Raw genomic sequence first — 25,506 nt, 5'->3', positions numbered from 1 at the left:
GAGGTGAAGGCACGCCCACCTGTCCACGTAGCATATGGAGGTTGCTGCCGGTCTGGGTGGGTTCCTCCATGGCCTCCAGCCATCCCTTCGGGGGCTGTGTTTGCCGCAGCAGCACGATGTAAGCAGTGAAGACGTCAGCCTTGACGTTCTCCTCGCGTTCTTTGAAGCGGCGGATGAGCACAGGTGCCAGGGTGCAGTGGAAATCGGGCAGCAGGTCAGGCCGCGAGCTGATCAAGGCTGCGATGCACTTGGCAGCTGCCCGGCGCACCTTCCAGCTCATGTCATCGTCATCGCTGTACTCGTCTTCACTCTCTGGGGCAGGAACAAGACACACGTGGAACCCTCATCTCCCAGGACAGGTCTGTGGCTCGGGGGAGAAGGGACAGGGAGGAGAGAGAGCTGGGCACTGTGCTTCACTTTTTGATGATCAGCATTTATAGATACCCTATGGGGAACATTCCCTACCTTTTAATGGGCATCTACTGAGTGCTACGGATGGGGCTAAGCATGTCAAACCCATAATCTTATTTTAGCTTCATGACGACCTTTTGAGACAGGGATTATTTCCCCATTATAGAGATGAGAAAACTGGGGTTTAGATAGAGGAAGTGGCTTGCCCCAAGTTAAGGAAATACTTGGAGTTAAACTAGGGTCCTCCCCTCTGCCTCCAGACCCTTAATTGTCTGGACTGTACCAGGGAAAAAACAGACTTCCAAGTCTTCATGTAGACTTGGAGAATCAATTTGGGGCACAAAACTCATCTTTTGGCATCAGGTTTGGCTATGTGATGTTTCGTTTACTGGGACTCCAGAAGGGAGAAGGGACAGAGCCTCCCTTTGGCCTCTTCTCTCCCCCGATCTCTGCCTCTCAAGGGTCCTGATTCCAAAGGCTTCCAGGCAGGATTAATAAAGAGGAAATGCTGGGTTTGTGTGGCTTTCTACCTGACAATCTCCCTGAAAGTCAAGGGCTCGTGCAGTCTTTACCATCACCTCAAAAGTGAAGGTACTGCCAAGCTCCATTTTACAGACGATAAGACTAAGACTCAGAGCGGGTGAGACTCTCAGGGCACACAGCGAGGAACAGCAGAGCTGAGATTCAGGTCCACGAGGCCCAGCCCTATCACCTGTGGAGGCACACAGGAGGCTCAGAGGGGGACAGTCTTGCCTGGGAGCACCCCAAGGCACAGGCTCAGAGCCCAGCATGGCCTTGCCCATACCACTCTGTGGACCACTTGGACCCACAGGGTGGTGTCTGGACAGCCACAGTGGGCCACGGCCACCGGGCAGCTCAGCAGCCATCCCCTCTAATGGATCACTGTCACCCCCACAGTAGGCCACCCACGAACACACATCCTTAGCTCTCTATTACTGACAAGTGTCCCACCTCCCTGGCTTGGCATTCAAGGCCCCCGCATGCCTGTCCAATCTCATTTACCATCCCATCTTGTTCCAAGTACCCCATCAGGCTCTAAATCCATCGTCTCCATCGATGCCCTGCCTTCAGGCCTAGGGGCATCTCTGCCCTGGAAATCTGTCTGAATGACAGACAGGACCACAGGCATAGGAGGAAAGAAGCTATCAAGTCCACCCCCATTGAGACATCTTGCTCCCCTGCCAGTGCCTGCCATTCCACCATCAGAGCTTTCCTCTGCTGGGTTAAAGACATTATCTCCTGAAAGCCATTCATAAAAGGGTACACGGTGGCAGTGCAGAGGTGGGGGAGCCTGACAGACCTGGCTCTAAGGCCCAGCTATGCCAATTCCTAGTTGTGTTATCTCAGGCCACTCTCTTCTCAGTATGTGTCCTTGTCTGAAACACGTGGGTAATAATTTCTGTTTTTTTAGGGTTATTGTGAGGAACACAACTAGTAGATGCTCAATAAATGACAGCAATGACTACTATCATTACTGTGGTCTGTGCAGTCACAGCGGGTGGGACTGGAGCTTGAGAAAGAGCTGGCATCAGGACAGGGGCACCAAATGTGACCGCTGTCTTTGGTTGGGGGATCCCAGGAAGGCTGTGTTCACCTCCACCCTCCAACCCCAATGATGGGCTGTCCACCAACCTTGCTCACTGAATTCACTATCCTCTGTCTCCATCTGCTCCTCATCCTCATCACTGTCGTAGTTGTAGTTGGGGTCGTGTTTTATGTATTGGAGGCAGAGGCTGGTCACGTTGGGCACGTGAGGACCCATTTCCTTGGGGCACCTGTGGGGCAGGATGAGGAATGCTTTGCTGGATCCAGCCAGGACAGGAGTGGGGGACAGGGCCCAATGGGAGTCCTGAAATTTTACTGCTTTGGGCCAGCATCCCCACCAACTTCCCAAAGGGATCCCCAGGCAACCCCACCATACATACTTCCTCAAGAAGGCCTCAAAAGCCTGGAGGCAGGACTCCCGGAGCTCATCATCATCCAGGTTGCAGAAATCCTCCACCAGGGGCACCAGGCGGTCCAGGTGAGCCCCTGCAGGGCCAGGTGGATCACTGAACCCAAGCCAGACACTCTCCCGGAGTTCCCCCAGCCCACAGCACTCAGACTGTCTATGCACCTGCAGCCCTGACCACTGTAGATTCAACTCAGAGGTTTCATAGTCAAGCAAATGTGGGTTCTAGCCCTGACTCTGCCACCCAACTGCTATGGGACCTTGGGCAGGTCACAACATTTCTTTGACCTTAGTCAGCTAATCTTCACAACAAGGATAACAGTGCCTCCTGGGCAGAGATTTTGTGAAGATAAATTATATAATGATAAATAGCTTAGGCCAGGCGCGCCTGTAATCCCAGCACTATGGGAGGCCGAGGCGGGTGGATCATGAGGTCAGGAGATCGAGACTATCCTGGCTAACAAGGTGAAACCCCGTCTCTACTAAAAATACAAAAAATTAGCCGGGCGCGGTGGCGGGCGCCTGTAGTCCCAGCTACTCAGGAGGCTGAGGCAGGAGAATGGCGTGAACCCGGGAAGCGGAGCTTGCAGTGAGCCGAGATTGCGCCACTGCAGTCCGCAGTCTGGCCTGGGCGACAGAGCGAGACTCCGTCTCAAAAAAAAAAAAAAAAAAAAAAAAATTAGCCGGGCACGGTGGCACACACCTGTAGTCCCAGCTATTCAGGAGGCTGAGGCAGGAGAATTGCTTGAACCTGGGAGGTGGAGGTTGCAGTGAGACAAGATAGCGTCACCGTACTCCAGCCTGGGGGACAGAGCGAGATTCTATCTCCAAAAAAAAAAAAAAAAAAAGATAAACAGCTTAGGCCGGGCATGGTGGCTCACACCTGTAATCCCAGCACTTTGGGAGGCCAAGGCAGATGGATCATCTGAGGTCAGGAGTTCGAGACCAGCTTGGCCAACATGGTGAAACTCCATCTCTACTAAAAATACAAAAATTAGCTGCACGTGGCAGTGCGCCCCTGTAATCCCAGCTACTTGGGAGGCTGAGGCAGAATTGCTTGAACCTGGGAGGTGGAGGTTACAGTGAGCAGAGATCGTGCCACTACACTCCAGCCTGGGAAACAGAGCAAGACACGAGACTCAGTCTCAAAAAGAAAAAAAAAAAAGAAGTTAAAAAAGCTTAGTCCAAGGTTGGGTGCAGTGGCTCACCCCTGTAATCCCAGCACTTTGGGAGGCCGAGGCGGGCAGATCATGGGATCACAAGGTCAGGGGTTCAAGACCAACCTGGCCAACCAACATAGTTAAACCCCGTCTCTACTAAAAATACAAAAATTAGCTGGGTATGGTAGCGTGCGCCTGTAGTGCCAGCTACTCAGGAGGCTGAGACAGGAGAATCACTTGAATCCGGGAGGCGGAGGTTGCGGTGAGCCGAGACTGCACCATTGCACTCCAGCCTGGGCAACAGAGCGAGACTCCGTCTCAAAAAAATAAATAAAAAAGCTTAGTCCAGGTTCTACACGAGCAGGCACTCGATAAATAGCATCTGTTATCAAAACCATTATTCATGTCCTGGCCTAATTTCCTTCACTAGGTTTAAGTCCTTGGATAGGAGAAAGGGAGGCAGGTACTGCCCTAATAGACCAGGCAAGAGGGGTTCCTGCCTGGTCTCCAGGCTTTAGAGCACTCCACTCAAGCCCTTCTCCAGCCATACCCTTCCCTACAGCATAAGAAGAGACATGCTGACCTAGAGACCCCCAACACTCCTAGACTCCATTCTGTCTGGGTATCTGGGGACCCGAGTTTCCTGCCCAATGGATCCTGACCCCTTGTCCGAGCCTGCGCAGGCCTCTTTCCTAGGTCCATGCAACCAAGGATGGCTGAGGGCTGGCTGCTGTTTGGGAGAAATGGGACAGGGTGTGGCCATGTCAGCTGGGGTTCCCCCCCCCACCCCCCGCCGTGTGCCTGCAAGGCCCCTTGCAGTGAGAGAGCCAGGGGTTGGGAGGGGCTGACCATATGCCAGTTCTATCCAAACTGTCTTGGTATAGTCAGAACTCCAAGGTGTCTGAGGATACATTCAAACCTGATTGCAGCTTTCCATTTCTAAAAAACTAATCTATAGTGACAGAAAGCAGATCAGTGGCTTCCTGGACAAGGCAGAGAGCTGGACTGCAAACGGACACAAGGAAGCTTTTGGGGGTGATGGAAAGGTTTCACGGATATACACAAAGGTCAAAACACACTGAATTGCACACTTTAAATAGTGCGGTTTATTGTATGCACATTAAATTGTTTCTTAAAAATTCAAACTTGGCTCATGGGCTGTTACTAAGATATCTTTGTCAAACTGGGAGAAGAGAACATAGTCTAACAGTTTAGTGGCATGACTTAAAATTGTAATTACCAGCCAGCCTCCACGTCTCATAAGTGATTGAACCAACCCCCTTCTCTGAACCGTCTGCACTCAGCAGGGGCTCAGGCCTGGGGGTTTGTCGAGCTCAGGGCCCGCCCTGCGCCTCTCAAGCCCTATCCGGCCCCAACCTCTGCGTTTCAGGGGCTTCAGCCGCCCGCCCCAGGCCCCACCCACCACATCAGCCCAGGCCCCGCCCCATCCTCCCTACCAAGGCAGACGGCCCACCCTTAGGCCCTGGCTGCACTGCGGCCCAAGCTCCGCCCCTTTACCGAGTCATTGGCTCACCCTAAGCTCCGCCCACCATGCCAGCCCAGGCCCCGCCCCCTGCCCCCTTACCGAGGCGGTGGCCGGCCTGGCGGCCGACGCTGCCCAAACATTGGATCAGGGTGCGGATGGCAGTCGGGCTGGTGGGCACCCGCGGGCCGGGCAGCCGGTCCAGTAGGTGGTCAGCGAGCTCGACGAAGAGGTCGGTGCTGCAGGCGGCCGCCAGGTGGCCAAGCGCTCCGACCGCCCGCTTGCGCACCGCCAGGCGCGGGCTGCTCAGCTGTGGCAGCAGACAGTGCAGGAGGCTGGCGTGGAAGGCGCCCAGCGGGACACCCAGCCTGGGGAGCACGAGGGGGCATCAGGCCGATCGCACTCCGCGGGCAACCTGGGCCAGGCTCCGCCCCTCTCCCCATTCTCTCCCGGCCTCCTTCCCAGGATTATGGCAACTCAATGGCCCTTGCAAAAGAGGTGCCCTGCAACTGTGAGGAGGAATTATTTTAATTACTTTTGTTACATGAGAGAAAGCGGAGAGAGAAAGGGACTTCTCAGCAGTGCAAAGCCTGGCTCCCAGCCTAGGGAGAAAGACCTGATAGGGGAAAGCATAGAGGATCTAGTAAGGCTGTCCCTATTTCTTGGAAGTCTAGGCCTTGCCTCAATACCATCCCCTTCTGTCCATCCTCCTCGCTGAGACCAGAGCAGTATAAAGTCTACTTCTCACCTGGTCACTCCTCTGCTTAACTCCTTCCATGGCTCCCTAGTGCCTTTGGAGATGCTGAGCTCTGGGCTCAAGACAAGAGGCAACACCAGACAATGGTTTCTGCGCACACAGCACAGCTCCTGCCTGCCTCAGCAGCTTCTATCCACACCTTCAAACGAGGCCCGTGCATTTTCTGTCCTGTAAACATCTTGAGACCTTTTCTTTCTCACTTTACAGAAACACGCTGACCTTACCCTCCCTTATTTCTATGTCCTACCCAACCCCCTCTCCTAGGTTTCATTTGTTTGCCTGTTCACCTGCTAAGTGACAGGGACTGTGCTGGAAGCCAGGGTGAACAAGACAGACTGATCCTGGGAGCTGCCCTCATGGAGTGTGTGGTTGAGTGAGTGCCTCCCAGGAGCCTCAAGTTCAACATGCCCCAGCTTGAATCCATCACCTTCCTCCCCACACACCTGCTGCTGGCTCCCGGAGTGCACCCCATCACAGCACCTCTGTCTGCCCCCGCCAGTTACTAAAGGCAGAACCCTAGGGGTCAGCCTCCAGTCCCTGCCTCCCCTGCCCACTCCAAGTCCTGTGGAGTCCCCCTCCTGAATACAACCCGAATTGCTTTCCCTATAGCAGCCTCTTAACCAGTCCCCTGCCTGTTCAATCCCCTCCCACCTACTCTCCACTGCAGAGAGAAAGATCAGGGTAGAACACACAAATACTCACCCCTGCCCCATGGCTCCTGGCCAGCCCTGCACCTCAGCTCTGCATACCCACCTCTCCACATTACAGCCTGCCCCACGACCCCTGGCAGACTCTGGGACCCCAAGTCTTCCCCTGTCTCTGCCTTCTGGACTGGGGACAGTCTCCCCTCCAGCATCCTCTTTATACCTGCCCAAACTCAGCTAAGTCCTGCCCCTCCTCGAAGGCTCAGCTCTAGCAGCACTCTCTTTTAGAAGGCTCCTCACTCCCAGCTGGACTGGGGGCTCCTCTGAGCTCCTATCAGCCCTGCTCTTATCCTTACTGTTGTGCTTACTCCATTCACAGTTTTATACATGTCTGTGAACTCCTCCCTAGAACAACCAAGACTGATCTAACCCCATGTTCCCAACACTAGGCCAGCACCTGACATTTTTCTGGCCAGAGCAGGTGTTCAAGTCATGGGAGGTTTTACTGACCGCATCATCTCTCAGAGCCTGTAAAATTGTGACAATTGAGTTCTCCTTTACGAGGCTGCTGGGATGATTAAGGAGCCCCAAGCACAGGGCCTGGTGTGCAGTAGGTGCTAGCTCTGTGATTTGAGTCCCTCCCTGTCCCCTTTTACCCACTCTTCCTCAATACCCAGGATGGCCTCCCACACCTGCTCAGCATGTCAGAGAGGATGTCCAGGGCTTCCAGCTGCACAGCCACATCCTCCTGCTGGGCAATGGCACTGGTGAGCTGGCCTGTGATCTTCCGGCACACGTTGGTGGCCAGCCCGGAGCCTGCACAGGGCACAAGGTGGGCACAGTGAGGCCCTGGCCTGGGGGAAAGGCAGCCTCCACCACTAGTCTGCCTCTGCTCTGGCTGTGTTCCTGAGCCCACATCCCCGGGAATCTTACCAGGGCTCCAGAGGTCCCAGGTTTGACCCAGAGTCTGGCCAAAGTCAAGGAGACAGCTAGGGGAGCTGCAGAGCTGATGGCCGAGCTTCTGGGTGACTTACACACACCCAAGCCCTTCTTCCTTTCCCCATTCCACTAGGGAGGCAGGGAAAGTTAAACACTTCCTTTCCTGCCTCCCTTGCTGCTGGGAGTGGCTGGGTGATCCAGCTCTTGCCAGTGAGATATAAGTGGAAGTCCTCTGGGGGTTTCTGGGAAAACGTGTGCTTTCCCTATAAAGGGAGGGGACATGGGGCAAGACTGGAACCCTGTCAACATTGAGCCACTAAATGAACTGCTACAAAAATGGAGTGGCTGATTCCTCCAGGATTGCCATGTGAGGAAAAACCACCCCTGATTTCTTTAAACTGCCGTTAGTTAGATTTCATCACTTGAGCTAAAAGCATTCCTGACACAGAACCATGAACTTAAACTGAGCTGGGCCTGAATTCTCTGCCCTGCTTACTAGCTGAGTGACCTCAGGTATGTCTCTTCAACTCTCTGAGCCTCAGTGTTTTTTTTTTGTTTTTTCGTTTGTTTTTTTACCATAAACTAGGACAAATACTAACAGTACCTAGTCCTGGGGACCTGGGTACCTGTGGCTGCAGGAGGGAGCTCCGAGAGGACGGTCTTGAGGCCAATGCCGGCAATGTCTCGCAGCTGCTCCTTGTCTGACCGCATGTTGGTGCACAGGGTGTCCACAATGGTCTCCACCTGGTACTCCTTCACTTTGACCACCAGAGGACCCAGGCTGAGCAGGGAGTGGGAAGGTGAATCCAAGGGCACAAGGTTCAGCCTGAGTCAGGCTGCCCCTTTATGTCCCCTCATGCTCCTGCGGCCACACGTGCTGAGGAAAAGGCCTCAGATCATCAGGGGAGCCCCTGTTTGGCCAGAAAGAGATACTCTCTGGCTATGCCAACATCGTTCCTGGGACCTCCCAAACCTACATTTCTTCTTGTGTTTTACGTCTCAGGAAATGGCCAAATAGTGCTCCAGAACAAGGGTTCTCAAACTTGAGGGTGCATCTGAATCCCCTGGCGGGCTTGTTTAAACAGATGGCTGGGCCCCACCTCCAGAGTTTCAGAGTCAGGAGGGCTATATCTAGGTGTGGCCTGATAGTGTGCATTTCTAGCAAGCTCCCAGTTGAGGCTGATACTGTAGGTGGTCCAGGGAGCACACTTGGAGAACCTCTGCCTTAGAGGCTTGCTTCTCAAAGTTTGGTGGTGAGTTAGCATTGGCAATGCCACTCGGGAGCTTGTTCAGGATGTGGAATCTCAGGCCTTACCCTACCCTAGATCTACTGAGCCAGGATCTGTAGCGCCACAAGGTCCCCAGGTGATTCCAATGCACAGGAAAGTGTAAAAACAGCGGCACTAGACGCCCTCGTTCTTGGCCTTAGTTGCCATCACCTGGGCCTCTAAAAAATGCCTACCTGGGCACTGCCCTCAGAGAGTCTCAGTTAATTGGTTTCAGATGTGGCCTGGAGGGGGTTGGGGGAGGGCTTTTAAAATTCCCCAGGTGATTCTAACATGCAGTCGAGGCTGACAACCTCTGCCCTACCTGAGTGGTTCTCAGACATTGGTGTGCATCAGAATGCAGATTCCAGGGTGCTATAGTCTCATCCTCTGCCCCAGCTCCCTTCCTGCTCCATCCCCTGAATCTGAATCCCTGGGCAGGGAATACAGGGTTTCAACAAGAGCTTCAGGTGACTGCAATGCACAATGGTTTTCTTTTTTCTTGATTTTTATTGAGATGAGGTCTCGCTCTGTTGCCCAGGCTGGAATACAGTGGCGTGATCATAGCCCACTGCAGCCTCAAACTCCTGGGCTCAAGCGATCCTCCTACACAGATGAGATTACATATTCAAGCCACCATGCTTGGCTAATTTCTTTTTTCAGTGTCTCGCTATGTTGCCCAGGCTGGTCTTGAACTGCTGGCCTCAAGTGATCCTCTTGCCTCAGCCTCCAGAATAGCTAGGACTACAGGCATGTGCACCATGGTTTTCAAACCTTGGTTCTCTCAACTTCCTTCTCCACAGCTCCTCTATCTACGTAATCATGGAGTCCTCCATCCTACCTCCTATAGCACTGGTTCCCACTAGGAGTAATACCACCTTGGCAATTTATGGGGGTCCTTGGTCATCAAAACTATTGAGTTAGTACTTCTGGCCTTTAAGGGGTTGAGAAGCAGGAACGGCAGAAAGACAATAATGTAAAACAAAGCACTGTCCATGCCCCGCAAGAGGTTCTAACATCCCAATGGGCATTTGTATAGGCAAAAGGCCTTTCTATAATTATCTGAGTCTAAAATTTCATTTTATACATAGACACAAAATACTTTTTTACATTGTTTTAATATACCACATTTTAGATTTTCTAAGAATGCAATTTTCAGGTAAATTGAAGGAAAATTCTACTTTGTTTTCTGGGAAACTTTATTGGGAGATGGTCACTCACTTTAGAAAATCCTGGCTGGGTGTGGTGGCTCATGCCTGTAATCCCAGCACTTTGGGAGGCCTAGGCAGGCAGATCACTTGAGGTCAGGAGTTCAAGACCAGCCTGGCCAACATGGTAAAACCCCGACTCTACTAAAAATACAAAAATTAGCCGGGTGTGGTGGTGCATGCCTGTAATGTCAGCTACTGAGGAGGCTGAGACATGGGAATCGCTTGAACCTGGGAGGGGGAGGTCACAGTGAGCTGAGATTGCACCACTGTACTCCAGCCTGAGTGACAAAGTGAGACTCTGTTTCAAAAAAAAAAAAAAGAAGAAAAAAAAAAGAAAATCTTGCCACTAAGAGCAATGGCCTCCAATTCTGAAACCTGAGTCCCCAACACCCCCTGTCTGTATCTGTACTCATGATGAGTTCACGTGTAGATGCAGGCTTCTCGTGACTTCATCACTTCTACCATCACAGTGCCCAAGCACGCATACATGGAAACACACATTACTATAAACTACATTCCTTCTAGTTTGCCTTTATGGTTATGGTTAGGGCATTATGTGTAGAGGTAGGTTTTATAATGTATGAATTTCATTTCCTAATAGGAAACGGTATTACAAACTATTTGTTATAAAAAGGTATTGGTTCTGCTGGTGTGAAACCCATCCTAAGTCTACTCCATGACCAGAAAGACATTCCCAGCTCATAAACTTGTCCATGTCACCTTCCTACATAAAACCCTTTACTGAATTCTCTCTGCTCTTGGGATCACATTGCAAATTCATTAACATGCCCCAGAAGAATGCCTGGACCCAGCTCACAGACAGTGGTTTGAGAGACAGTGCCCAATTCTCTCACCCTGTTGTCCCTTGATCCCTGGCATTCTATTTAAAATTACCCAGGTGATGCTAACCTGCAGTCAAGCTTGACAACCTCTGCCCTACACTAGTGGTTCTCAGGTGTGGGTGTGAGAATGACCCTACCACACAAGCATCCCCACGTGCTCTGCACATACCCTTGTCTTGTCTTTTTCTACTCGAGATAACTGGCCAACGTCTCAGGATCACAGCCTCACAGTGATCTAAGGCTGGGGCTTTTAGGACCTCTCCCAGTCCCATGTGCCCTAAGCCTTTTTTGTTTGTTTGTTTTTGAGATGGAATTTTTGCTCTTGTTGCCCAGGCTGGAGTGCAATGGCGCAATCTTGGCTCACTGCAATCTCTGCCTCCTGGGTTCAAGCGATTCTCCTGCCTCAGCCTCCCAAGTAGCTGTGATTACAGGCACGCACCACCATGCCCGGCAACTTTTTTTTTTTAATTATTATTTAGTAGAGACAGGGTTTCACCATGTTGGTCAGGCTGGTCTCAAACTCCTGACCTCAGGTGATCCACCTGCCTTGGCCTCTCAAAGTGCTGGGATTACAGGCATGAGCCACCGCACCCAGCCTTTAAGCCTTTACCACCTTGATGTGTGTCAGCTTGACCTTCCCAGCATTTACATCTGTCTGAGGGCTTTCTCTGGCTGGAGGTGGCAGGCAGTGGACAACCCTCCATCCTACCCCAGAAGCAGCCCTTAACCAATGACTACCAGGGAGCTGGTGGATTAATACCCCAGCTCCCTTACCCTTTGAGTGGGAAAAGTCCAAGGGACATGTCCTATACTGTGTCCCAGAGGTCCCCATGGGGTTAAGCTCATCAGGCCCACTGTGGTCACTTGCTTCGTACCATACCCTTGATTGGTCCTCTTCCCTTTCCTGCCTCACTTCCCTACTCCTCTACCATGTTTCCTGGGAGCGCCTCCCAAATAAACTTAGATTTGAATCCTTGTCTCAGCATCTTCTGGGAAAACTCAGACTAAGGTACCATTCAACGAGAGCTGCTCAGCAGGTCTCCTCTGCGAGGCTGTACCCCAAAGGGACAGCGGTCCCCAGGATGCTCCCACACAAGGTAGGGCCCCCTCTCCTGCTCCACCGAGGCTGACACTCACCACTTGACAGCCAGGTTCTGCACCTCACCGTTCTTGTCCTCCAGGAGCCGGAGCAGCATCTTCACCACCTTGCGCTCGCTGTCCTCGTCCAGCTGGATGGAGTCCTTCTGCAACTCCGACATCAGGTCGCTGGTGGCCATGAACCTGCACAGGGAGGGTGGAGGAGATTGCTGAGCAGCTCCTGGGCCCTGGTGGATTTGGGCAGTACCTCAGGGTTCCCCTAGAAGTAGACCTTAATACAAAGATTCGAGGTCAAATGCAGTCCTGTGTCACATAATGATGTTTTGGTAAGTGACAGGCAACATATACAATGGTTGTCCCATAAGATTATAATGGAGCTGGCCGGGCGCAATGGCTCACGCCTGTAATCCCAGCACTTTGGGAGGCCGAGGTGGGCAGATCACGAGGTCAGGAGATCAAGACCATCCTGGCTAACATGGTGAAACCCAGTCTCTACTAAACAAAATACAAAAAATTAGCCAGGTGTGGTGGCGGGCGCCTGTAGTCCCAGCTACTTGGGAGGCTGAAGCAGGAGAATGGCGTGAACCCGGGAGGCGGAGCTTGCAGTGAGCCAAGATCATGCCACTGTACTCCAGCCTGGGCGACAGAGAGAGACTCCGTCTCCAAAAAAAAAAAAAAAAAAGATTTTAATGGAGCTGCCCTATACAGGCATGCCATTTTAATCTTTTCTACCTTATTTTTACTGTACCTTTTCTATGTTTAGACACACAAATACCACTCTGTTACAACTGCCTACAGTACTCAATACAGGTTTGTAGCCTAGGAGCAACAGGCCACACCATATAGCCTGGGAGTGTAGTAGGCTCTACCATCTAGGTTGTGTAGGCACACTCTATGAGGTTCACACAAGGACAAAATCGCCTAAGGATGCACTTCTCAGAATGTTTCCCCGTCGTTAAGTGCCACATGATGGTGGATTATTTGGGCAGTGGGCATGGTTGGGCTACAAGGAGACCCACATATGTGTGACACCAACTGCCACATAGTGGCAGACTAGCAACGGCTCAGCATGCTGGCTAAATGCATAATGTTTCAGGATCGGTGGCCCCCGCCTCAGCCATTTATGAGTGTGAACTTGGGCAAGTCATTTCACCTCTCCAAGCCTTAGTTTACCTGTCTGAAAACAGGGATGAGACTAGTACCTGCCTCATGGTGTTTTAAGTGCACATGGTGTGTGCTCAGTAAATGGCACTGCCATTATTATAATGGCACAGGACATCATCCACATCTCACAACAGCTGAGAAAGTGATGCCAGAAGGTTGTTTTGTTTTGTTTTGTTTTTTGAGATGGAGTCTTGCTCTGTTGCCCAGGCTGGAGTGCAGTGGCACGATCTCAGCTCACTGCAAGCTCCATCTCCTGGGTTCACACCATTCTCCTGCCTCAGCCTCCCGAGTAGCTGGGACTACAGGTGCCGGCCACCACGCCCGGCTAATTTTTTGTATTTTTAGTAGAGGTGGGGTTTCACTGTGTTAGCCAGGATGGTCTTGATCTCCTGACCTCGTGATCCGCCCACCTCGGCCTCCCAAAATGCTAGGATTACAGGCGTGAGCCACCGCGCCCAGCCAAGGGATACCAGAAGGTTGAACAGACACCTTGTGTCCAAGTCAGAGCTAGAGGCCTGTCTGCCAAACAGATGGAGGAGGGCGAGCCCTGTCCACTCCCATCTCAGAGAACCGGCTCAGTCCCTGCCCTTAGAGCAGTGGATCTCCAGCTATAGCCAGCATCAGAATCACCAGCAGCGCTTGTTAAATAATACTAGTCCCCATTCCCAGAGTTTCTGAATCAGCAGGTCTGAGTTGGGGCCCAGGAATCCACATTTCTAACAAATTCCTGGAGGACACTGAGGGTCAGGGACCACACTTTGAAAACCACTGCCCCACGCCATGCTGATGGGCATGGGCATATTTTGGAGACCAGCGCCAATAGCTGACTGGCTCACTGACCTAGGGTGGGCACCAGAGGCAAGGGCTACCCACCCGGAGGTGAGGGATTCATGGGGCCTGACACCAAAAGCCTGATGCTGTCCCAGGCATTTGAAACTGCAGTGGGAGTCTAAGCTGGAAGCCACGGAAAGTTGAGGCTGGGGCCAACTTTCCAAGTCGAGGAATGGTGCGGGAATTGGGCACCATTCCCGCCAAAATTAAGAGGGTAGGAGCAGAGGTCTGAAACTAGTAGCCCTCAGCTGTGTCCAGCTTGCAAACATGTTTTCAAAAATTTAAATTACTTGTCAACATTTGAACATTGGGAAAGTTGACACAAAAATACTGACTTTGGCCTGGCATGGCGGCTCACGCCTGTAATCCCAGCACTTTAGGAGGCTGAGGCGGGTGGATCACCTGAGGTCAAAAGTTCTAGATCAGCCTGGCCAATATGGTGAAACCCTGTCTCTATTAAAAATACAAAAATTAGCCGAGCGCGGTGGCAGACACCTGTAATCCTAGCTACTGGGAAGGCTGAGGCAGGTGAATCACTTGAACCCGGGAGGCAAAGGTTGCAGTGAGCTGAGATCGTGCCACTGCACTCCAGCCTGGGTAACAGTGCGAGTATCCATCTCAAAAAAAAAAAAAAAAAAAAATACTGATTTCCAGGCTGGGCGCAGCAGCTCACGCCTGCAATCCCAGCACTTTGGGAGGCCAAGGTCGCCAGATCACTTAAGGTCAGAAATTAGAGACCAGCCTGGCCAACAGGGGGAAACCCCATCTCTACTAAAAATACGAAAATTAGCCAGGTATGGTGGTGCACACCTGTAGTCCCAGCTACTTGGGAGGCTGAGGCAGGAGAATCACTTGAACCCAGGAGGCAGAGGTTGCAGTGAGCCAAGATCGTGCCACAGCACTCCAGCCTGGGTGACAGAGTGAGACTCAAAAAAAAACAAAAACAAAAACAAAAACAAAACACTGACTTCCAGATTATCTTGAAAACAGAATATTTGAGTACAACGGGGCCTACAATCCCTGGTGACAATACCTGATTAGAATCAGGTTGTGGCTGCCCTCTCCCCAGTTCACCTGGTCCCCACTAGGCCCACTTCACCCACTGACTGGCTCCTGCAGGCATGTGAGAGCGGAGTCTCAGGAGAAAACAGGACAGAGCAGCGAGGAGATACTGTAAGGCTGCCTCGGAGAAAGCCTCCAGCTTTTACTGACCCTGCTGGGCCACTCTACCACCCCACGCTGGCCCTGCTTTCCAGCATGGTTGAGCAAATCAACCAAGAGCCCTGACCCCCGCCTCCTGTGGCAAAATCTATCACAGTTGGGATTCTGGCTCTCATCTGTGCAGACTCAGACCTGCTCCTAGATGTCACTGCAGCCCACAGTGCCCTGTTACCAGGGGTGGACTGGTCGATGACCTATTTATTTTTAACAGGTAGATTAGCCACAAGTTGCTAGGAGAGAGAAGGAGGCTGGGCTGGCAGCATGGGCAGGATGGCAGGACTGACTGTGCCCACCTCTGGGCAAAGGTAAAGTGAAGGAGGAGGTTTGGATTTGAGCCAGGCCAAGGCCTGAGGTGAGCACATGCACCCCTACGTCTGCTCAGCTGAGGGGACATTCTGAGATGGCACCCAGGGTCTCCAAGTTGTGTTTCTGCTGCAGTCCATGGGGGCCCAGCTCAGCCTGGCAACCCAGGCGATGTGCCTCTTTGCCCAAGATAGGCCTTCTATCCCCGCTCTTCTTCTTCATCTGTTGAGCTCCTCCTATTCACCCATCAAGAGCCCAGCTCAAATGTCCCAGCTCAAGGATGACTGACCTCCCTGCCCTACCCCTGCATCCACAGCCCCTAAGCACAATGGTTCCCTGGACAAGATCCTTTCAGAGCACTCTGCACCCCTCCTTTATAGCACTTCTCACACTGCAATACAAGTCTGGCCACCAGAGCATCTTCTCCATTGGACTGTACACTCACTGAGGGCAGAGGCTCATCAGGTTTATCTCTGGGACTCCAGGCTCAACAAAGAACAGGTCTGCAGAGGGCTTTGTCAGGGAGGGTGAGAGCAGGAGGAGAGGTAGTGAGAGAGCTAGCCCTTAACAGAACTTACAGCCAAATAGTCCGAATTCAGAAACCAACTCTTCTGAAGTATGCCTCAGCATTTCAGACACCCCTGGTTCCTGCAGACACTAGCTCTCGGAGAAAGCAAGCCATGTTTTATACGTGTATGTGTGTAGGGATGGGAGAGAGAAGGAAAAGTATATAATTTGGTGGATAAGAGCTTGAGCACCAAAGTTTGGCTTTAAGTGAGTATACTTACTAGTCTTGCCATTTATCAACTAGGTGACATTGGGCAACTACCTCCTTTTCTCTGGGCCTCAGATTTTCTATATATAAAATGGGAACTTTTCTTTGCCCTACCTCATAGTATCCTTGGGAGGTTTCAATAGGACAATCTAGCTCTTAGCATGAGGTAGTAAGAAAACTAGGCTCAGGGAGGCTGCACAAACTGCCTACGGTAACAGCAAACTGGGCGGAAAACCAGCCCACCACACAGGTCTCCTGGCTTTTCAACCAATAATACTACTGTGTTTTCAAGAAATGACTTGGTAATTCCTGCAAGACCTGCAAGGGTACTCGTTTTGACTGCTGGAGCCTCCGTGGTAATGGGGCACCTCCTGCCCATAAAGCCAGGGCCCAGGAAGAACAGGAAACAAAGGTCTCCCTCCACCCCACCTGGGACCCCCATTTGCAGTCGCTGCCCCGCTCCAGGAACCAGAGGACAGTCTCAGTTTCATTACAGAGAAACCCTAGAGGCAACTCAGCTGAAACCCTTGGCCACACGGACGCCTGGACAGCTGGTCTGCAGGACCCAGCACCCTGGTATTCGGACTTTAAAAATAGACACCATTCTCACATGCTTGGGGTGGTTTTAAGTGTTCTCCAGGCCACTGGCAGAGACAGGCTGAAAGGGCTTCTCGGGCTGTAGCTGGCAGGGCCAACTCCCTCTCCCAGAGACTGGACCAGAGGCCTGAGAGACACTAGCGCAAATCCCCTAGGCCACTAGCCAGCTCTGTGACCTTGGGCAAGTCACTGCACTCCTCCAAGCCTCCGGAAAACAGGAAGAACAATCACTACCACCCATGGGTGGACTGAGATTACACGTGGGGTGCACAGTAGGGAGCCTGGGACCCAGCGAACATTCACTAAGCACCTACCGTGTACTCAGCACAGGTGTTGGGGCACTAAGAGGAAGTGCATAGTCCCAGTGGCCCAGGAGCTCAGGGTCTCCCAGGGCTGAAAAGTGATCTAGCAGAAACATGAGGGGAGGCATGATGGGAGCTGAAAGGAGGTACCTAATCCTGCCTGGGGTCAAGAGTTATAGGAGCTGTCAGATGAAGGGAGGAGGTCAAGGGAGAGCAAAGAATCCCCCTAGTGAAGGTCTAGAGAGGGGACAGGGCGTGGCAGATTTTGGATGTGCACAGAATCATAACAGTGTCCGTTTATGAAGCACCGACCTAGTGCCTGCCATGAACCTGAGCATTTCACATGTACTATCTTATTTAATCCTTACCCCAACCCTCAGAGATGGGTTCTGTTATCCCCATTTTATAGAAACAGAAGCACAGGGAGACTCATGGGGGTTAAGTTACTTGTCCATGGTCACACGGCCAGTGAGTGACGGCAGCTGGGATCTGAAGCCAAGACCTTGGATCCCAGGCTCTATTAATGTGGGGGGGCTCTTGAGGGGTACTGAGGAATGGGCTGCAGGAGAAGAGTAGGAGTCAGACCACCAGAGCAGGTCTGTCTCCTCACCTGTCAGGGGGCTGGAATCAGAGGACCTCACTAAGATCTTGGCCTCTGTATTAGACTGGCCTGGATTTGGACTAAGTCTCCCACTTCCTCGCTGTGACTGAACCTACGCCCTTCATGTCTCTGAGACTCAGTTTCCCTATCTGTAAAATGGGGACAAAGTGAAAAAATGTTCATTGAGTCTCCAAGGTCTTCTTTCAGCTGGAGGGGCCAGAACTGGCCATGAGACCACGGGCCAATCCCTTTTCCTCCCTGGGCCTCAGTTTCCCCAGGGAATGCAGGTGGAAACTCATTGGACCAGATGTTTCCACCGTTCTTTTCAGCTCTATTCCTGTGGTTCTGTGATGCTGTGAGAGGGGGAAAGAAGGAAAAAGGGAGTGGGGAAGGAGAGTGGCACACAAAACCTAGAAGGTCCCACCCCAACCATCACCTACCTGTGACTGGAAAGCCAGACTCAGCCCAGCCCCCTCCTTTAGGCTGGGTCTGAACAATCGCAGGAGGGGAGGGAGACGGGGAGGGAGGGGTCCGGGTGATGTTGAGAAGGAGGCATCACTGAGGGTGCCAGTGAGAAAGTCAGCTGGGGGTTGCGGTCCCGGGAAGGGTCCGGGTTCAATGCGGAGGAGAGGCAGGTGCTGGGGTCCCCAGGGAGAGGCGTAGGGCTTCACTGTGGGCTCGCTGAAGGTGGTGGGGGCGGGGGGGAGGGGGCGCTGGGGCATCAGCTGCGGGGGAAGAAGGGGGCCGGACACACACGAGGGAGGAGAGGCCGAGGCAGGGTGCAGAGGGGTGGAGCCGGGGCTCTGATCGGGGGTGAGAGGTAGGGCTGAAGCCTGCACGGTGGGAGACGAAGCAGGGACTGGAGTCGCGGAGGGGCAGGACGGCCCCTAGGGGAGAACGGCCGGAGCTCCAGTGGGGACCACGAGGCAGGAGTGGGCCTGTGGGGAGGGGGGCAGCTTAATGCAGGGAGAAGAGAGAAGAGGCAGGGGGCTGCATGGTCATGGGGGATGGGCTGGCGCTTCGAGAGGGGAAGAAGGCCCCCGGCTTCAGAGCGGGAAGGAGAGAAGGGGGCCGGCGGCGGGCTGCACCTGAAGTCCTTGTCGCTGGACGTCATCTTCTCCAGGAGGCTGGAGATGTGGAAGGCGGCGGTGCTCATGGTGGCTGCGCGCCGCGGAGCCGGCCGGCGGGAGGGAATATGGCGGCGCGGGCGCCCCCTCCCTCGCCAGCTGCGCGGGCTGCGCTCACCAGACAGAAATAGCAGCTCCCGCCCCGCCCCGTGCTCACGCCTTGGCCGTGGCGGCCGCGGGAGGCGGGCGGGCCTGGGCCTGGCTTGGTGGTCTTGGCCCCGGCCCCAGCCCTTGCCCTGCTGACAGCGCAGCGCCGGATTGCACACACCCCCAGAGACGGGGAGCTCACTACCCTGCCACCACCTCCTTGTTATTCCCGTAGGTGCCAGCTCTGTCTTGCGGCATGGACGTAATATCATAGAGTCTCAGGTTCGAATCCCACTTCTGCCTCTTCTGCTGTGTAGCCTTGGCCAAGTTACTTTACCTCCGCTTTCTCATCTGTAGGCATTCAAGAAACAGGAGCTATCAACCAAAGCTGGTCAGGCCAACCAAAAGACCCCTCACCCACGATGCTTGCCCGCCCCTGAGCCAGACAGGATCTGGGGAATGAACTGAGTCACACAAGGCCCCCTGCCTCGCATCCCCAACCCTCAGGACGGCAGGGTCAGTTTCTTCATTTTTTTAGCAATGCAACTGAGGCCGAGAAGCAAAGGGATTTGCTGAGGGTCACACAGCCAATGAATCTGGGATGGAGTCAGGATTGACTGCAGATCCCTTAATATCCTGCGCAGCAATCCTTCCATAAACAGCCAGGAGGCTGCTGGATGGGAAAGGGAGTAGTGTGTGCTTCAGAGCCAGACAAGCCTGGCTTCAAATCTCTGCTAGGCTCCTTCCTGGCTGTGTGACCTTGGGATAATGAAACAACCTCTCTGGGCTATGTTTTTCTCACTCATAAGATAAGGATAAAAGAAATCTTTATTCACTTGGGAGGCCGAGGCGGGCGGATCACGAGGTCAGGAGATCACGACCATCCTGGCTAACACAGTGAAACCCCGTCTCTACTAAAAATACAAAAAAATTAGCCGGGTGTGGTGGCAGGCGCCTGTAGTCCCAGCTACTCGGGAGGCTGAGGCAGGAGAATGGCGTGAACCCGGGAGGCGGAGCTTGCAGTGAGCGGAGATCGCGCCACTGCACTCCAGCCTGGGCGACAGAGCGAGACTCCGTCTCAAAAAAAAAAAAAAAATCTTTATTAAATTGACACCCCCCTTGAACACCTGTTATTATGAGGTACGTAGGTTCTAGACCAAAGCTAATAGAACACTGCAATGTTGAAAATGTTCTACATCTTCAGTATAGTATCTAATATGATAGCCACTAGCCACATGTGGCTATTGAGCACTTGAAATGGAATTAGTGTGACTGGGGAACCAAATTCTTAATTATATTTATTTTTCATTAACTTAACTTTAAATAGCCCACTATGGGTAGTGGCTATCATAATGGACAGTGCAGATCTGTACAACAAGGATGCAACGCAGCAGGGTGTTAGACACAAACGGCCCCTGCCCCCTGGGGACTTTACATTTTAGTGTAGGAAATCAGCAAGAAGGAAGAAAGTGATTAGATAAGGAAAATAAGAGCTCTTCAGAAAATAAAATAGAGAGTTCCTGGAGCGTGGAGGGGCAACTTCAGCAAAGGTCAGGGAGGGCACTTTTTGAGGAGGAGACATTTGGGCTAAGACCTCAACAGATGAAGCAGCTGGGCAAAGTTTTGAGGGAAGGGCTTCCCAGACAGAGGGAGCAGCAGGTGCAAAGGTCCCGAGGTGGTGGCCGGGTGCGGTGGCTCACACCTGTAATCCCAGCACTTTGGGAGGCCGAGGCAGGAGGATCACGAGGTCAGGAAATCGAGACCATCCTGGCTAACACGATGAAACCCCGTCTCTACTAAAAATACAAAAAAATTAGCCGGGCGTGGTGGCGGGCACCTGTAGTCCCAGCTACTCAGGAGGCTGAGGCAGGAGAATGGCGTGAACCCGGGAGGCAGAGTTCGCAGTGAGACGAGATCGCGCCACTGCACTCCAGCCTGGCGACAGAGCAAGATTCTGCCTCAAAAAAAAAAAAAAAAAAAAAGGTCTCAAGGTGGGAACCAGCCTGATGTGTTTAAGAAAATGCTGTGGCTGGGCCGGGCACGGTGGCTCACGCCTGTAATCCCAGCACTTTGGGAGGCTGAGGCGGGTGGATCACAAGGTCAGGAAATCGAGACCATCCTGGCTAACAAGGTGAAACCCCGTCTCTACTAAAAATACAAAAATTAGCCGGGCGTGATGGTGGGCGCCTGTAATCCCAGCTACTCGGGAGGCTGAGGCAAGAGAATGGCGTGAACCCGGGAGGCGGAGCTTGCAGTGAGCCAAGATGGCACCACTGCACTCCAGCCTGGGAAACAGAGCGAGACTCCATCTCAAAAAAAAGGAAAGAAAGAAAGAAAGAAAAGAAAAGGCTGTGGCTGGCTGGGCGCAGTGGCTCATGCCTGTAATCCCAGCATTTTGGGAGGTTGAGGTGGGTGGATCACATAAGCTCAGGAGTTAAAGACCAGCCTGGGCAACATGGTGAAACCCTGTCTCTACAAAAAATGCAAAAATCAGCCGGGTGTGATGGCACACGCCTGTAGTCCCAGCTACTTGGGGGGCTGAGGTGGAAGAATCTCTTGAACCTGGGAGGCAGAGGTGAGCCTGGGAGGCAGAGGTTGCAGTAAGCTGTGATCGCACCACTGCACTCCAGCCTGGGTGACAAAGTAGACCCTGTTTCAAAAAAAAGGAGGGGAGGAAGGGAGGAAGGGAGGGAGGGAGAGAGGGAGGGCGGGCTATGGCTGGAATGGAATGAGATCAGTCTTCCACTGAGGAAATGAGGACAGAGAGGTGGACAGGGGCCAGATTACTTGAAACCTTTCAGGCCAAGGCAAGGAGTTCGTATTTTATATGGGAACACTAATTTTATGTGGGAACACTAACGCCAGGGAACACTGGATGGCGTAAAGCAAGAAGGTAACTTGATCAGTTTTTGTTGTTGTTTTTGAGACAGAGTATCCCTCTGTTGCCCAGTCTGGAGTGCAGTTGTGTGATCTCGGCTCACTGCAACCTCTGCCTCCCAGGTTCAAGCAGTTCTCCTGCCCCAGCCTCCCGAGTAGCTGGGACTACAGGCACCCGCCGCCACACACGGCAAAATTTTGTATTTTTAGTAGAGATGGGGTTTCACCATGTTGGCCAGGATAGTCTTGAACTCCTGACCTCAGGTGATCCACCCGCCTCAGCCTACCGAAGTGCTGGGATTACAGGTGTGAGCCACTGCGCCCAGCCAGATCAGTTTATTTTATTTTATTTATTTAATTAATTCAGTTATTTATTGAGATGGAATCTTGCTCTGTTGCCCAAGCTGGAGTGCAGTGGTGCAATCTCAGCTCACTGCAACCCCCACCTCCCAGGCTCAAGTAATTCTCCTGCCTCAGCCTCCCAAGTAGCTGGGATTACAGGCACGCATCACCATGCCCAGCTAATTTTTGTATTTTTAGTAGAGACAGGGTTTCACCATGTTGGCCAGAAGCTGGTCTTGAACTCCTGACTTCAGGTGATCTACCTGCTTCGGCCTCCCAAAGTGTTGGGATTACAGATGTGAGCCACTGCACCTGGCCTGGTTTTTTAGAAAGATCTCTTTAGTGCTGAACAGTCCACGCAATCAAGAATCAGGGTGGTTTGGGCCGGGCGTGGTGGCTTATGCCTGTAATCCCAGCACTTCTGGGAGATCACCTGAGGTCAGGAGTTCAAGACCAACCTGGCCAACATGGTGAAACCCTGTCTCTACTAAAAATACAAAAATTAGCCGGGTGTGATGGCACACGCCTGTAGTCCCAGCTACTCGGGAGACTGAGGCAGGGGAATTGCTTGAACCCTGGAGGCGGAGGTGATTGCAGTGAGCGAGATCACACCAATACACTCCAGTCTGGGCAACAGAGCCAGACTCCATCTCAAAAGAAGAAAAAAGAAAAAGAGGCTGGGCATGGTGGCTCATGCCTATAATCCCAGCACTTTCGCAGGCCAAGGCAGGCAGATCATGAGGTCAGGAGATCGAGACTATCCTGGCTAACACAGAGAAACCCCATCTCTACTAAAAATACAAAAAATTAGCCGGGTGTGGTGGCGGGCACCTGTAGTGCCAGCTACTCAGGAGGCTGAGGCAGGAGAATGATGTGAACCCGGGAGGCAGAGCTTGCAGTGAGTGGAGATCATGGGCCACTGCACTCCAGCCTAGGCTACAGAGCGAGACTCTGTCTCAAAGAAAAAAAAAAAGAAAAAAGAATGAGGGTGGTTTGCATTGGGGGAATGGTGGCGAAGATGGGAAGATTCGGGTTATGTCATGGAAATAGAATACAGCAGTTTCATTTGAGGATTGGATTCACATACTTTTTTTTTTTTTTTAGACAACATCTCACTCTGTCGCCCAGGCTAGAGTGCAGTGGCATGATCACCACTCACTGCAGCCTCCACCTCCCGGGCTCAAGCCATCCTCCTGTCTCAGCCACCTGAGCAGCTGGGACTACAGGCACACACCACCACACCTGGCTAATTGAATCCACACTCTTGAATTGGGTGATGATTACAGGTATATATTTGTAAAAATTAATCAAGCTGTACTTTGCTATATGTAACTGTTGCCTCAATAAAAAGGAGGGAAATGGGCTGGGCTCGGTAGCTCTAGCCTGTAATACCAGCACTTTGGGAGGCTGAGGTGGGTGGATCACTTGAGGTCAGGAGTTCGAGACCAGCCTGGATAACATGGTGAAACCCCGTCTCTACTAAAAATACAAAATTAGCCAGGTGTGGTGGCGCGCACCTGTAATCCCAGTTACTTTGGAGGCCGAGGCAGGAAAATTGCTGGGAGGTGGAGATTGCAGTGAGCCAAGATCATGCCACTGCACTTCAGTCTGGGCAAAAGAACGAGACAAAAAACAGAGCAAAAAAGTAAATAAATAAATAAATAAAAAGGAAAGGAAATGAAATAAGTACATAGTTTCATAATATTTTGTAATAATTTTATGAGTCAGTGCATATATTTTTACAAGTCATATATTATTTTTATGGGTAAGGAAAAGGGAAGAATTATGAGTTTTTAGCTGGAGCAGCTGAGTAGATGGTGGTGCTTTTTATGGGGATGAGGAAGTCAAGACAAGAAACCTTTTGATGGGAAGGAGGACTTGAAAACTGCATTGATCTGTTAACTTGGAATTACCTACTAGACATCCAAGGAAAGATGCCATGTTGACAACTGAATACATCAGTTGCACAGGGGAGAATTCCTGGTTGGAGATACAGATGGGGGAAGGTCTTCACACAGAGGAAGTATTTAAAGCAATAAAAGTGTACAAGGATGGACAACATGAAGTGTTATCAAGAATGCAGGACAAACAGAACTCTTTTTTTTTCTTTTTTTTTTTTTTTTTTTTTTTTTTTTGAGACAGGGTCTCACTTCACCCAGGCTGGTGTGCAGTGGTGCAGTCTCAGATCACTGCATCGTTGACCTCCCAGGTTCAACTGATCCTCCTATTCAAGCCCCACAAGTGGCTGGAACTACAGGTGTGAGCGACCATGCCTGGCTAATTTTTGTATTTTTTGTAACAACAGGTTTTGCCATGTTGCCCAGGCTGGTCTCAAACTCCTGAGCTCAAGCAATCCACCTGCCTCAGCCTCCCAAAGTGCTGGGATTACAGGAGTGAGCCACCACACCTGGCCCCAGAACTCTTATATGGTGGTAGTGTGAGCTTTAAATTGGTAAAACTACATTGGTACAAACTGTTTGTCCATATTTAAAAAAGCTAAGTATGTATCTACCTTGATGTATTCAGATAAGCACTTTCACTCTGGGGCGTATATTCAAGATATATGAACGTATATGTGTTCATCAAAAGAACGTTCAGGCCAGGCTTGGTGGGTCACACTGGTAATCCCAGCACTTCGGGAGGCCAATTTGGGTGGATCACCTGAGGTTAGGAGTTTCAGACCAGCTCAGCCAACATGGTGAAACCTCATCTCTACTAAAACTACAAAAATTAGCCGGGCGTGGTGGCAGTCACCTGTAATCCCAGCTTCTCTGGAGGCTGAGGCAGGAGAATCGCTTGAACCCGGGAGGCGGAGGTTGCAGTGAGTCGAGATCCTGCCATCGCACTCCAGCCTGGGTGACAAGAATGAGACTCTATCTCAAAAAAAAAAAAAAAAAAGTTCAGACCACCCTTCTTCTTCTTCTGAATAGCCAAAAATTGGAAATAACCTAAGTGTTCATCAACAGGTGAATGAATAAACAAACTGTAGTAGTTCATAAAATTGAATATTATATAGGAATGAAAATTAATGAACTACTGCCATGTGCAATGACATGAATGAATCTCAAAGATATTGGCCAAAAGAAGCCAGATGCAGGAGTGCATACTCTATGTGGTTCCATCTGTGTGAAGTTCAAAAACAAACAAGGCACAGTGGTGCAGGCTTGTAATCCCAGCACTTTGGGAGGCTAGATGGGAGGACTTGAGCCCAAGAGTTCAAGACCAGCCTGGGCAACATAGTGAGACCCCATCACTACAAAAATATTTTTTAAAAATCAGCCAGGTGTGGGCCAGGTGCGGTGGCTCATGCCTGTAATCCCAGCACTTTGGGAGGCCGAGGCAGGCGGATCACCCGAGGTCAGTAGTTCAAAACCAGCCTGACCAACATAGCGAAACCCCGTCTCTACTAAAAATACAAAAATTAGCTGGGCATGGTGGCAGGCGCCTGTAATCCCAGCTACTCAGGAGGTTGAGGCAGGAGAATCACTTGAACCTGG

The 25,506-nt window shown here is 51.8% G+C and overlaps 1 protein-coding gene across 4 annotated transcripts in view, besides 3 other annotated features; it reads right to left on the bottom strand.

Annotated features, from left to right (window-relative positions):
• The window catches only part of CAND2 (cullin associated and neddylation dissociated 2 (putative)), a 38,124-nt gene extending 19,351 nt beyond the window's left edge, over positions 1-18,773 (bottom strand). For 2 of the 4 annotated variants that reach the window (NM_001162499.2, XM_011533503.3), the window contains exons 1-8: positions 18,665-18,773; positions 11,822-11,965; positions 7,993-8,147; positions 7,120-7,243; positions 5,129-5,394; positions 2,358-2,463; positions 2,065-2,207; positions 20-312 (exon numbers count right to left, since the gene is read on the bottom strand). In NM_001162499.2, coding sequence (NP_001155971.1) covers positions 20-312; positions 2,065-2,207; positions 2,358-2,463; positions 5,129-5,394; positions 7,120-7,243; positions 7,993-8,147; positions 11,822-11,965; positions 18,665-18,732 — 1,299 coding nt within the window. In that variant the 5' untranslated portion in view covers positions 18,733-18,773. Of the gene's footprint in view, positions 1-19; positions 313-2,064; positions 2,208-2,357; positions 2,464-5,128; positions 5,395-7,119; positions 7,244-7,992; positions 8,148-11,821; positions 11,966-18,016; positions 18,248-18,664 lie in introns of those variants that run through there. The other 2 variants (XM_011533504.3, NM_012298.3) reach the window with 2 other exon arrangements.
• Positions 1,391-1,571: a silencer, noted in NCBI's record as "fragment chr3:12855381-12855561 (GRCh37/hg19 assembly coordinates)". NCBI's record gives its function as "represses an EF-1alpha promoter that drives an FKBP-Casp9 reporter gene in an ReSE screen in HepG2 liver carcinoma cells {active_cell/tissue: HepG2}" and the evidence as "EXISTENCE:reporter gene assay evidence [ECO:0000049][PMID:32094911]".
• Positions 4,917-5,366: a silencer, noted in NCBI's record as "silent region_14070". NCBI's record gives its function as "represses an Ori minimal core promoter by ATAC-STARR-seq in GM12878 lymphoblastoid cells {active_cell/tissue: GM12878}" and the evidence as "EXISTENCE:reporter gene assay evidence [ECO:0000049][PMID:35858748]".
• Positions 11,381-11,881: an enhancer, noted in NCBI's record as "H3K4me1 hESC enhancer chr3:12845071-12845571 (GRCh37/hg19 assembly coordinates)". NCBI's record gives its function as "activates a minimal SCP1, AML or CMV promoter by ChIP-STARR-seq in naive H9 embryonic stem cells {active_cell/tissue: H9 hESC(naive)}" and the evidence as "EXISTENCE:reporter gene assay evidence [ECO:0000049][PMID:30033119]".
• Positions 18,774-25,506: the final 6,733 nt, after the last annotated feature.

This window comes from Homo sapiens, chromosome 3 (assembly GCF_000001405.40).
Source record: "Homo sapiens chromosome 3, GRCh38.p14 Primary Assembly".
Lineage (NCBI taxonomy): Eukaryota > Metazoa > Chordata > Mammalia > Primates > Hominidae > Homo > Homo sapiens.
Note: the sequence above shows the minus strand (reverse complement) of the source record. Positions and strands in the feature narration are given on the sequence as shown.